General features: G+C 41.4%; 1 long non-coding RNA gene across 1 annotated transcript, besides 2 other annotated features; it reads left to right on the top strand.

Annotated features, from left to right (window-relative positions):
• Positions 1–820: 820 nt before the first annotated feature.
• On the top strand, positions 821–9524 carry LOC124902989 (uncharacterized). Its single transcript, XR_007063412.1, has 2 exons — positions 821–5342; positions 6024–9524. It is a non-coding gene; the product is annotated as an uncharacterized LOC124902989 (long non-coding RNA).
• Positions 6628–6757: an enhancer, noted in NCBI's record as "active region_6796". NCBI's record gives its function as "activates an Ori minimal core promoter by ATAC-STARR-seq in GM12878 lymphoblastoid cells {active_cell/tissue: GM12878}" and the evidence as "EXISTENCE:reporter gene assay evidence [ECO:0000049][PMID:35858748]".
• Positions 11793–11862: an enhancer, noted in NCBI's record as "active region_6795". NCBI's record gives its function as "activates an Ori minimal core promoter by ATAC-STARR-seq in GM12878 lymphoblastoid cells {active_cell/tissue: GM12878}" and the evidence as "EXISTENCE:reporter gene assay evidence [ECO:0000049][PMID:35858748]".

The raw sequence follows: 13120 nt of genomic DNA, 5'->3' as shown, positions 1-13120 counted from the left end.
AATCAACACACGGCCTTACTTACACTTTTCATTTAAACTATGCTTGAAGCTTTAAATGTTTCCAGCTGCGCATGTATTAGAAGGGATAAAAGAATAAGGGAAGAGCTTCAGAAAACAGTGTTGTTCCAAAGGAGGGCTTGGTAATTCTAAATGGCCAGTAGGGCAGGCCAGAGGCCACTGAGGATTCACATCACAGGAGAGAAAGTATTTACCAGTAGGGTTGCTTTGATTGATGGGTCCTGGGAATTTCTGCAACATGCCCTGCAGCACCTAACAGTAGGACAGATGTTTCCATAGCTGAATCTTTCTGCCCTGCTGCTCCTGGGAAAAATAATTTCCACTCCCACTGCAGCTCTACCCTAGCCAATTAATGAAGTTCTTTCAGTGATTTTTCATTTGTGAGTATGATATGCTCAGCTCTTGGCCTAATTAGACAAGAGGGGGCCGCTGATTTCTCAGTCTCCAGACTTCTTGCTTGGGACATGCATTCTCAGTTTCTTTAGACCAGTAGTTGTATTAATAAAAGAAAGAGGAGGGGGCCAGGTGCGGTGGCTCACACCTGTAATCCCAATATTTTGGGAGGCTGGGGGTGGGGGTGGGTGGGGGGGGGGTGGATCACGAGGTCAGGAGTTCGAGACCAGCCTGACCAACATGGTGAAACCCTGTCTCTACTAAAAATACAAAAATTAGCCGGGTGTGGTGGCACACGCCTGTAATCCCAGCTACTCAGAAGGCTAAGGCAGGAGAATCGCTTGAACCCGGGAGGCAGAGGTTGCAGTGAGCCGAGATCGTGCCGCGACACTCCAGCCTGAGCAACAGAGTGAGACTCCGTCTCAAAAAAAGAAAGAAAAAGGAGGGAAACATTCCAAATCTGCCAAGGCATTAAATATATAGTGGATGCATATAGTATTTTCAATATTTAAAAGACATAAAGTAGGTCTCTCTCCCAATCCTGTCCCCTTCCCAGAAACAATCCCTATTAACTTTCTGTCTATTCCTAGAGATATATCCATGTACATGCATTTAATGTATGTGTGTGTATATATATACATATAGACCTATTTATCTTTTGCATTCACACAAATGGTAACATATACATAATTCCATACCTTGCTTGTTTCTTTTTGTTTTGTTTTTGTTTTTGGGATGGAGTTTCACTCTTGTTGCCCAGGCTGGAGTGCAGTGGCGCAATCTCGACTCACTGCAACCTCCGCCTCCTGGGTTCAAGCAATTCTCCTGCCTCAGCCTCCCGAGTAGCTGGGATTACAGGCACCCACCACCATGCCCGGCTAATTTTTTGTATTTTCAGTAGAGACAGGGTTTCATCATGTTGGCCAGGCTGGTCTCGAACTCCTGGCTTCAGGTAATCCACCCTCCTTGGCCTCCCAAAGTGCAGGGATTATAGGCATGAACCACGGCACCCGGCCACCTTACTTGTTTTTACTTATCTTAGGGATTGTTCCGGGTTAGCACATGTAGACCTCCCATATTTGCTTTTTAATAACTACAGGAATGTTTTTTAAACATTGTTTAGATGGTCCATCATTTACTAGCCTTTTATTGCTGGGCATTTTGGTTGTACAATCTTCTGCTGTCCCAACAAATTAAATGTTACCCTTGAACATAAATATTTTGGCGCATATGCTAGTTAATCTATATTATCAGTTTGCAGAAATAGAACCACTAGGCCAAATGGCATATACCTTTAAATATTTAAAATATTTAAATATAGAGATAATCATATTGCTCTCCTGTAGAGGATTTCTTCATTGACTTCTTCCTGGCAGTGCATAAGAATGCATCCTCCAACCCGTTTCCCTTCTCCCCATCTCCACCTTGGCCATATCAGAGTCTGTCTTTTGCAGGAGAAAAAGTTTTGGTCTGGGATGAGCATGAATATTTTTAAAACTCACCGCATGGGTGTCAGCAGTGTTTCAGTTGCAAGTCACAGAAAATCTGCCTCAAACCGACTTAAATCAAAATTAAAAAAAAAAAAAAAGATGGAGAAGTTGATGGGCACAGATAACAAAAGTCCAGAGAGAAAATGTGCTTCAGGTGTAGCTGGATCTAGGGAGGGCTGGCATGTCATGGCACAGCTTCAGGGGCACAGTCACATTGCATTAGCAAACAGTGTGAAGGCTGCCCCCTGGAGTTAGTGGCCATACATTCAGGGACACAACTAAGCTTACAGGGACCTGGTCTCTCTCCATTTCCCAGCCCTGTTTCCTTGGGGTTTGCCTTGTTCACAGGCAGGCTTTCTCCACGTGGCAGCTCTAGGTTTACGTTCTATGAACTTTATAACCTCAATCTAAGAGCCTCCCCTTCTCTGTAGATACAGCCAAAGTCATGCAATTGTTCTTCGTTGATCTGACTTTGGTCAGATACTCATCCCAAGTAATTGATCACTTCTGGGAAGGTCTTTTGGTTTGCTTGCCTGTCATCCATTCCCTGTTCTTCTGATAGTAGCGCCTTGATTTTCTTCCTCAATCTAAGTCCCCATGGTTCTAGGGACCTTCCTTCATCCAGGGCTGAGCATGCGACCCTAGGCATGGCCAGTCAGCACCCATCCTACCAACGGCCAAAGTGATTCTGATTCTTGGACACTACCTCCTTGACCACTAACCCATCTGTAGGCTAGATGAGTTTGTCTGAGACCAGGAAAGTTACAGCTGAAGAAGATGGGAGATGGAAGTGCATACAAATCACCTGGCAATCTTGTAGTAAAGCAGATTCTAATTTATTAGGTCTGAGATGGGGTCCACTGCATTTCTAACAGGGTCTCGGAAGATGTTGATGCTGCTAGTCCAAGGCCCACACTTGGAAGCAGAGAGACGTAAGGTGGATCCAATGGCCCCTCCAGGCTCCTCCTGGTCTAATGATTTTAAGATTTCATAGCATATACAAAAGGATACGAAACAAACAAAATCTCCACATGCAATCAATTCTAATTTGTCTCCACTTCACATGCAAATAGAAGTCACATTTTAATGATCATATATATCCAAAAACATAAATATTATGAAAACATTCATTCATTTAAGAAATACAATTCCATTTCCTGCCTTGATGGGGTTGGGAGAGGAAACCTTCATTGAATTTTTCTAAAAGAATCATACTTTTGACCAATGTTGGCAAGAAAGTAACTTTTTCTTTTGGGGACTGTGAGCTCTTTGTTGTCTTACTGAAAAAACAAAACAAAACAAAAAATAGAAGACAAAAAACAAAAAACCAAAACAACCTGCTGCTGATTCTACTGTCAAGCTAGTGACTTATTTGTGCTTTACCTGAGGAACCAATTTGCCCTTGGCAGACACTGGGCTTTATATATCTAGTTATCCCATCATAGCTGGGTGGCCTGGTGGCAAAAACTGGGGACAGTCTACTGTTTTCTTGAGAATAACACAGTCACTCTCTCTCTCATGACCAACTGCTCTTCACATTTTCTTTTTAAATAAATTCTTTTCTCATCATCTCTCAGTACCAATATCTCAATCCAGGAATAACTTGAACAGCATCTAAAGAGTTTCTTTGCTCTCCCTTATTCAAATCGGCTATTGAATGGACTCCCCCAATATCCAGCACCATTTATTGAAACAGAAAAATGATTTCTTTTGGAAAGCAATTTCATGCCTTGTTATCCCCAACAATGTCTCTAAAATACAAGGTTAGATGGCATTTCCAGGAAGTCCCTATTCATTCCTGGGACTGAAAAGGAAAAATAAAATTTTAAAGGGGACTCCAGAAGCCCATGGCATTGTCTGCTAGATATCTTCATGCCTTGAGGATCATTGTGTGGCATTGTGAAGATACTTGCTTTAAAATCATGCCTCTGTACAGAAAATTGTAGCCTCAAACCCTGGTGTTATTATGTAAATAGGTGTTAATGAATCGATTGTACTAAGTAGACTGTGATTGAGAGTTGCTGTTCTTATGAGATGATCACAGAAAGACAGCTGGATTTTCTTCTGCTTTTTTTAGAATCCTTATACTCGTTCTGCTTCACAGATATGGCTTCTACCAGAAGGCGAGTTGTGCAGAATTCTCATCTTGTGCTTTATTTTCTTATTGCTAAACTGTTAAGTAAGCCAGTCCCATCCGTAAGTTTGAAAAGCCACCTTAGGACTTAATTATTAAAAGGTAACGTCTCCTCCATAAATACTGATCCTCTAGAAATACTGTGGTGTCCACATTTGTGTTTTAAGATTAATATAACCCATCCTCTCCTGTAAGAAATGGGATTTTGAGGCCCTCTCCTTGCTCTCTGTGTCTGCGATTGACTCACTGAGTGTCAGAGCTGCACTTAGAGGATGCCTAAGCTGGGAAGTCATTGATCAACAAATTGCACCTTGATGGTAGAATAGAAAGGAGAGGGGTATTTATTGTAGCAGGGGGTCGTCTTTATCCATTAGTGATGTAAATACTAGGAGATAGAAGATTTGGGGATTTGTCAATCGGCCTAATGACATTTTCCCAGCAAGTCTTTATTGAGCACCTGCTGTGTTCCAAGGCATAATGGTTGGCTCTGGGTATACAGTGATGATCCAGCTGAGCCCTGATCTCATGGAGGTAACTTAAATGAGCCATTTAATGCCTGGACTTGACTTGAAAAGTGAAGCTAATTCCTAACCTCACTGGATTGCTGTGATGGTGAAACACATTTTTGAAAGTATAAAGTATTAAATGCAGAGTTCCTGAGGTCAGAATGATGACACAGCTTCAGCAATGTCCTTAACCTTGAACTTTCTAACATCAGTTCTTTTTTCTATTATCTGCTTTCATGAAGTTATCCTCACACGGCCTTCACTTCGCCCTTTGTCTTTTTGTGACAGTTGCATTTTCCTCTCCAAGGATTATCCCACTTTCCTGATTCTTGAATGGTGCCAGCTTTTTATCTGCCTTGCAAAATATTTTTCTAAAGGAGGGGCCTCCTAAGAAATTTCATAGGTATTCGATATGAACTTAGAAAAGTGACTATTCACAAAAGATACTGAGACAAAAACGAAAAGTAGCTTTCTGTATTATACATACAATAAAAATCGGAACGTAACACCCCAGAATACAGTTCTCTTGAGACATCTCTGTCGTTTCCTAGAGTTAGAAATAAACAGAGAACAGTTTTGGAGTTGGGCGAGTAGCCAGCCTTGTCGTCTGCAGATAGGAATGATGGGGGTCATGTTTGAGTGAGGGAGAGAGTGGAGAGGCAGTCTCTTGAGCATGCTGTTGGAGCAGCTGAGACTTGGAAACATGTAGGCAACGTTTCTAAGAATGTCTTTGCTGTACATGTTGGAGGAAGATCTCAGATTTTTGCATTTAAAAGATCCTGGCCTGTCACAGCCTCCCCGGTACGTTTTGTTTTTTGGTTTTTGGGGTGTTTTAGACTCATTGCACAAATTTTATCTATGATCTGTTAATTGGGGGAGTCACTCTTCTTCTCTCCAATTCTAATGTCCAGAGTAATGTATGTGTCTCTGCCTCTCCCTGCTCTGTGTCCCTGTCTCTGCATCTCTTCTTCTCTCCCACACTCAAGCTCTCCACTGCGCTTATGTGATATCATCACTAAGAGTGGGAAAGCTGAGCAAACCTCAAGTCTGAGCCCCTAAAGAAATGTTTTAGAGGATTTTGTTTTACACTTCGTATATTGCACAATGAACCCATCTTAAGAGATTAAGAGCTGCTGGTTTTCTCTATCCCTGACAAAAGTATATAAATAAATAAATAAATAAATAGATAGATAAAAAATAAAGAGGCAGCTTAGCATCATGGTATAGTGCAGTGTTGGCAAACACTTTCTGTAAAGGGCCAGATATTTTACATTTTTAAGCTGAAATATTTTAACCTTTGTGGACCATAAGTCTCTGCCGTAACTACTCAAGTTGGCCAATGTATCATGAAAGCAGCTATAGGCAATATGTAAACAGGCAAGCATAGCCGTGTTCCAATAAACTTATGGACACTGAAATTTGAATTTAATGTAAGTTTTACATGTCATGAAATATTGTCCATTTGATTTTTTTTCCCAACAGCTTAAAACTACAGCCCTTATGAAAAACAGGTGCTGGGATAGATTTGGCCCCTGGACCATTGTCGTTTGCCAACTCCTGGTAGAGTGGAAGAAACTCAGAACAAGGAGTGAGAAGCCTTGCCTTCCAATTTTGGTTTTATTACTTTTTAGTTTTGACATAATCATTTAACTTCTAACCTCAGTTTCCCCATCTGAAAAATGAGTATGAAAAGAGGGTAAACAGGAACTTTACAGTGGAGAAACCCGGCAGACACTACCTGAGTCAGGTGGTCATGGTCAACATCATCAGTGCTAAGTCACGATAGAGTAAGAAATATTTGGTCTTTGTCCCTGGTTCCTGACACAGAACTTCTATAACCCTTGGAATTTCCTGAGTGGCATGCATGATAGGAGCATTTTCTATTATTCATAACAAGCCCCTTCAGCCTTACCTGAGTTTCTGCTAATGCAGTGACTTTTGGTGGGCCCCTAGATAGCTCCAGGATGGAGCTGGTTGCCAAAGGAACCAGCCATGTAATTAAAGAGTGGAACTTTCAGGGCCACTGATATGGTTTGGCTGTGTCCCCATCCAAATCTCATCTTGAATTACAGCTCCCACAATTCCCGTGTGTTGTAGGAGGGACCCAGTGGGAGGTAATTGAATCATGGGGGCAGGTCTTTCCCGTGCTGTTCTCATGACAGTGAATGACTCTCATGAGATCTGATGGTTTTATAAAGGGGAATTCCCCTGCACAAGCTCTCTCTTGCCTGCTCCCATGTAAGATGTCCCTTGTTCTTCTGCTGTGATTGTGAGGCCTCCCCAGCCATATGAAACTGTGAGTCAATTACAACTCTTTCTTGTATAGATTACCCAGTGTCAGGTATGTCTTTATTAGCAGCACGAGAACAGACTAATGCAGTCACCCTTCCTTCAGGGAGGGGTGAAGGGGTCGAGATTGAGTTAATCACCAGTGGTCAATGATGTAATCAATCATACCTCTGTTATGGAAGCTCCATTAAAAAACCTAAAGGACAGGGTTCTGAGGGTTCCAGATTGATGAATGCATCCATGTACCAGGAATGGGGCACATCCCAACCCCACAGGGATGGAAGCTTCTGTACTCTGCCCCTTCTGGACCTCACCCCGTGTGCCTCTTCCTTGAGCTGTTTATGTGTATCCTTTATAACAAACAAGTAAGAGTAGGAAAGTATTCTCCTTAGTTCTGTGAGCCCTGAGGAGGGAGTTTTAGGACTCCCCTGACCCCAGATTTATAGCCAGTCAGAAGTGTGGAGGGCTCAGGACTTGCAATTGGTGTCTGAAATGGGGCAGTCTTGTGGGGCTCTGTGTTAACTCTGGGTAGTTAGTGTCAGAACTGAATTGAATTGAATTACAGGATACCTGGCTGCTGTCCAGAAAACTGGAGAATTAGTGTGAGGAAAAACCCCCACAGTTGGTGTTAGAAGTGTTGCGAGTGAAGCAGCCGAGAGCCACGTTGATAGCATGCATCCTTGATAGGATTTGATGAAAATGGCACCCCAGCCCTGCGGTCATCCTCCAGAAAAGCCATTGACAGCAGTTGAAGCATGAGAAAATGACCAGGTAGACCTAGGGACAGTCTACAATATACCTGATCACTATTCCTCAAAACTGCCAAGGCCATAAAAACAAGGCAAGACTGAACCACGGTCACAGATCAAAGGAGACTAAGGAGACGTGATTAAACATCGTGTGGTATCCTGGACATGGGACCTTGGGAGAGAAAAAGGACATTAGGGAAAAACTGGTGACATCTGAACAAAGTGTGGAGCTCAGTTAATAGTCATGTATCAGTGTCGGTTCCTTGGTTGTGACAAATTTACTGTGGCCATGTAAGATGTTCACATTACAGGGACCTAGGTTAGGAGAATAGGTGAATTTTGCAACTTTGCTATAAATCTAAAACTGTTCTACAGTAAAAGCTTTATATTAAGAAAATATTAAAAATCTCTAGGATTTGGCAATTGATTAGGTAAGGAGGGCAAGGGAGAAGGAGGAATAAAGATTTTTGTGAAAGTCTTTGGCCTGATTACCTCGGAAGTTAGCTATGCGAGTGGACAGAAATGACAGAATATAGGAGGCAGTCTGGCTTGCAATAGGAAATAATGAACTCGTGGTACTAGGGATATATCCATGAATGCGATGTACCGTTTAACAGTTAAAGTAATAAAAATGGCCAGAAAGGGCTTTTGGATTTCAGATGTTTGGTTTAAAATGACCTCTAGCCTCACAGCATTTGGCATTTAAATTCTAATTTAAAAAGAAAGAGGAACTGGATTAAAAATAAAGTAGTGATTGAACTTGTATAAATAGCTGGACTCCTGCTCTTGTTTCTATGTTTCTGTGTGGGTAAATTTATCTTTTTGTCATTAATGCATTGCTTGGAGCTTGGAGTAGCTATCAGCCCCTCTTTATTTGCAGAAGGACTTAGAGTCATGTTGCCAAGTGAAACATGATTTAAGTGACTCAGCAGCCAGAGCCAGCCCTTTTTCTTTAGCTAGAAATGCTGGTTGTGTTGACCCAAATATACTGGAGCGCATGTTTTGTTTACTTCAGACAAGAAGTAAGAGCTTTGAGTCATTCCTTTTTCTACCCTATTTATATTTTACAGCCAGAACTGCCTCAAAAATACACACAGCCATTCATCAGAGGCCTGCGATGTCTGCTGTGCATTAACAATATATGAAATATGTGAAATTTATCAGTGTAGGATCAAACCACAGGCAAGACCTCACGCCTGCATAGGTCATGAACAGGCACTTCACCGAAAAAGAAATTCAGGTGGCAATACATGTGTGAACAAAATTAAACTTTGCAAATAACAAAAGATGTATAATTAAACTTGTGAAGATAGCAAAGAAATGCAGGAACCAATGCTGGCAAGAGTATGAAGAAGAGTACTCTGGCAGGATTATAGATCAACATAATATAGGGGGAGGGCAGCTTGAAATATATATTCCAGACTTTAAAATGTATTTATCCTTCGTTTCAGTCAGTCCACTTCTAGAGATTATCCTAAGGAAACAATGGGATAGGCATATAAAGATATATGTAAAGAATGACCATCTAAGCATTGTTTAAAATAGTAAAGCACTGAGGATAACATCCAACAAGACAGACACTGGTTGGCTTCAGTGTTGTAGATGTAGCAATCATAATAGAAAGGCTTGCATTAAATTTTTGAAAAAACATATTTCAAAATGCATTCATATAGTCCAGTTTATACAAAATGTATGTGTGCATGTACACTTCTAAAAGAACATATGCTAAATTTTAAATGCTTTTAAACTGTAAATGAAAATAAAAATGTTTTAATTCTAAACCAAAATGTGGACTCTCAGTGCTAAATTCTGAGTGATGTAAACGGTCCTCTCATAAATTACTATCATTTTTGTAGAGCCTAAAACATGTTCCCATCACCACCCATATGCTTCCTCTCCAAAATAATCCTGAATTTCTTAAATAAAAATTGTAGTTCATCCTAAATTATTGAGTAAGAATTTTCATTCACAGTGTGAAGAATCTAGAGCTGTGTTATAGAGAAGCCAGCAAATAGTTATTGTTCCTTAGTTTTATTTTATGCTACAGTAGTTAAAATACCCAAAACAGTGCTTCATAAAAAAAAAAACAACACTATACTTACAAATACAGGGTGAAAAATGGGATTTCAGTGGCAAATGGGATTTTCTTCACTTTGATTTCATTAATTTACATCTTGCCTCTTTCCAAATATATGTAAAGTACCTGTATCTTTCAATAGAACATGCACTGAACATAAAAAAGTGTTCACACACATGAACTAACCAGCTGCACCATCACACTGCCTCCAAGGTAGTATGATAAAAGGCAGGGATGATAAAAGGCAGAACATATTTCCAAAGACACTCAAGATCTGTGAACTAGAGACTTCACCTTTAACACATGAATGAAATGATTCAAAAATCTTTCTTCCAAAGTCAATTGAAAACTAGTGTGGCCATGTAGTTCAGATCAGGCCAGGGGCACAGCTTGAGAAGAAGAGCTGACTGTAGCCAGCAGGGTCCCTAAGTAAATAAGGCTTCATGTAACCATATACAGCCTGATAGAGTAGGAGAAGAAAGGAAAAGGGGTGAGTAAGGGGAAAACGTTTAGAGGCACCTGCTCTTTGCCAAGCACTAAACTGAAATGCTTATTGTGTGCTGTCTCATCTAGTAAGGTGCAGGCATATTCTAATGTTCAGATGGGAGTTTGATTTAAATATTTCTAAATAAATTAGTCTTCTTCTTGATGTTACCCTTGCCAGCTGCATGCCATGGGCCGTCATCTCCAGATCTGCCAGTCACCCAGTTAGTTGCTAATGATTCCGGATTTCCCCTCCTCCCACCACTCTTGAGTATCTCATTAGCCACTTCTTTTTTTTTTTTTTTTAATTTTTTTTTTTTTATTATACTCTAAGTTTTAGGGTACATGTGCACATTGTGCAGGTTAGTTACATACTTCTTAAACTGCCTGCCGTAGCCAAGGTGAGGAGGGCTCGGGATTATTTCAAGAGGTCTACCAGATACCTTGGATTTCAGAGCCAGAGTTGTGAACAGGACTTCACTTTTCGTGTTCCTCATTTTGTATCTGCCTCTTTCCAAAAAGGATTTGAAGTGCCCAAATCTTCCAACAGTATGTGCGCTGTGAGATGTTTCATAAGAGAGAGAAATTTTAGGAACTCTACGCAGAGGGGCAGTATACACAAAAGCAAGACAAAGTGAGCAAGGGAGAGAAAACAAACGTCTTACTATGTGTGGGAATGAGCAAAAGGAGAGGGGGAGAAAGACTGAGCACAGTTGCATATGGGAGTGGAGCTCCTTGTGATGTTTTAGTGATTAAATAGGTGACAGCTAGGAAGGGTGATCACTTGGCTTTGTGGCAAGAGGTTTGTCTCTGAGCGTTTCTCAGCACCTGGTAGGCTTCTTCCTGTATTAGGACAACTTCACACCAAGATTCCTTCTAGAACCTTGAGCCTAGTTAACCCCACGCCCATTATCCCTGCCATACTGAGCTATACCTATGATGTCAGCCTCTCTTATGCTGACATTCCCTTCTTGTTCTTCACGCACCTCCATCTTCCCATCCCTTAACACTATTCCAAACCCTCCCCACTTCTTCAAGCTGCTAACACCTCCTATTTTCAAGGTTCCAAACAGGGGTATGTGGACTAAGTCTGGCCTCTGCCATGTTTTGCTTAATCTACACATCCCACCTTTATTACTGGCAAGAGCCAAGAATCTGTGGTCTCCTGTTTCCTGAAGTCTCCAGCACCCTCTGTTGTTTCCTACTCCCCTTCCCCACTCCCTATTGTTCCCGCTCCCTGTTGTTTCCCAGTCCTTCCTGTGTTCCACGTCTTGGTCTGGGTGGTGGTCAGCTAAGTCTGTTCAGTTAGTAAAAATTCACAGAGCACTTATTTTGCAGTTTTCTGTGAGCATGTTATATACCAGGTTAAAAAAATTTTAAAGTTAATTAAAAAGCAGAATCTTGATTTCTCTGGATAAACCCTGCAGTGGACATCATTATTTTCCCCATTTTGTAGATGAAGATATGGGGACATGGAAAGGACAGTTTGTCTATGGTCATTCAGCTGGTACATGACAGAACATAGGAGTCACACTTGGGTGGCCTGTGCTCTTTTTTTTTTTTTGGCGGGGAGAGAGAGTCTCGCTCTGTCACCCAGGCTGGAGTGCAATGGCGTGATCTCAGCTCACTGCAACCTCCGCCTCCCAGGTCCGAGTGATTCTGCTGCCTCAGCCTCCTGAGTGGCTGGGATTACAGGTGTGCACCACCATGCCTGGCCAATTTTTGTATTTTTAGTAGAGATGGGGCTTCACATGTTGGCCAGTCTGGTCTCAAACTCCTGACCTCAGGTGATCCACCTGTCTCAGCCTCGCAGAGTGCCAGGATTACAGGTGTGAGTGAGCCATAGCTCCTGGCCTTGGCCTGTGCTCTTGACCACTGTGTCTTCCTTCTTGTCAAGAGAGTTGGTCCAACCATGAGAGACTCTAATTCTACTCTTGGCTTCTCTTTGCCACTTCGATATCCAAACCATGAGTTTCAGAGATTCATTTATATTGTTTCTTTTATGTGCTGTGGTAGATTCAAGGTGGCCATGAATTATTTGCAACTCCTTTCACTGAGATGTGGGATCTTATTATCCCCTGCTTGACTTTGGGCTGGTCTTAACAATTTGCTTAACTGGTAGAATGCGGTGGAGATGACATTGCTTGACTTATGAGGTAGACTGTAAGAAGATTTGTAGCATCTGCCTTGGTTTCTTTGAACACTGACTCTTAGAATCCAGTTGCCAAGCTGCAAGAAGCCCATAGAGAGGCCCACATGGAAAGGAAATGTGGACACTGGCTGACAGCCCAGCTTAGCTGCCATCCTACAGCCAGCAGCAACTTGCCAACCATATGAGAGAGCCATCTTGGAAGTGGATCCCCTGCCTCAATTGAATGACCCCAGTTAATGCCCCATAGAGCAGAGATGAGCTGTTCCCGCTGAGCACTGCCCTAATTGCAGATTTCATGAGAAAAATAAATGACTAGTATTGTCTTAGGCCACCAATTTTTGGGATGGCATATTATATAGCAGTAACTGGAACACCAGCCAATTTGGTTAACTAATATACGTTAGAATCATATGTGAGATCAAAAAATGTTTTGCTTTCTTTAATATTAGTGCTATCATAGAAAGTTTCTTCTAGCAAAAACTTAACTCTTAATTAAGCCATTCCTGAAAATTATTCCAGGAATAATTTTCGCATGCTAAAGATGTTTTTTTCTCTATCCTCACTAAACCAAATACCAAAGACCACCTACAGTAGTACATATTTACTGACTAAATTGAAACTTTCTAGGAAAAAACACATTTGTTAGTAGAATATCAACAAAGTGCCATCAAAATAATTGTAGGAAGTAAGCCAATGTAAAATCAGTTTATCTATGAATCTGTGAGTTGCTAGGAATTAGGTATGAAAACTATACAGTCTAAAGCTAGTTCTTCACATTAGCTAAATGAGCAGAAGACTAACATCTCACATTTTTGGTTGGGACTCCCCA

Source organism: Homo sapiens, chromosome 12 (assembly GCF_000001405.40).
Source record: "Homo sapiens chromosome 12, GRCh38.p14 Primary Assembly".
NCBI lineage: Eukaryota > Metazoa > Chordata > Mammalia > Primates > Hominidae > Homo > Homo sapiens.
Note: the sequence above shows the minus strand (reverse complement) of the source record. Positions and strands in the feature narration are given on the sequence as shown.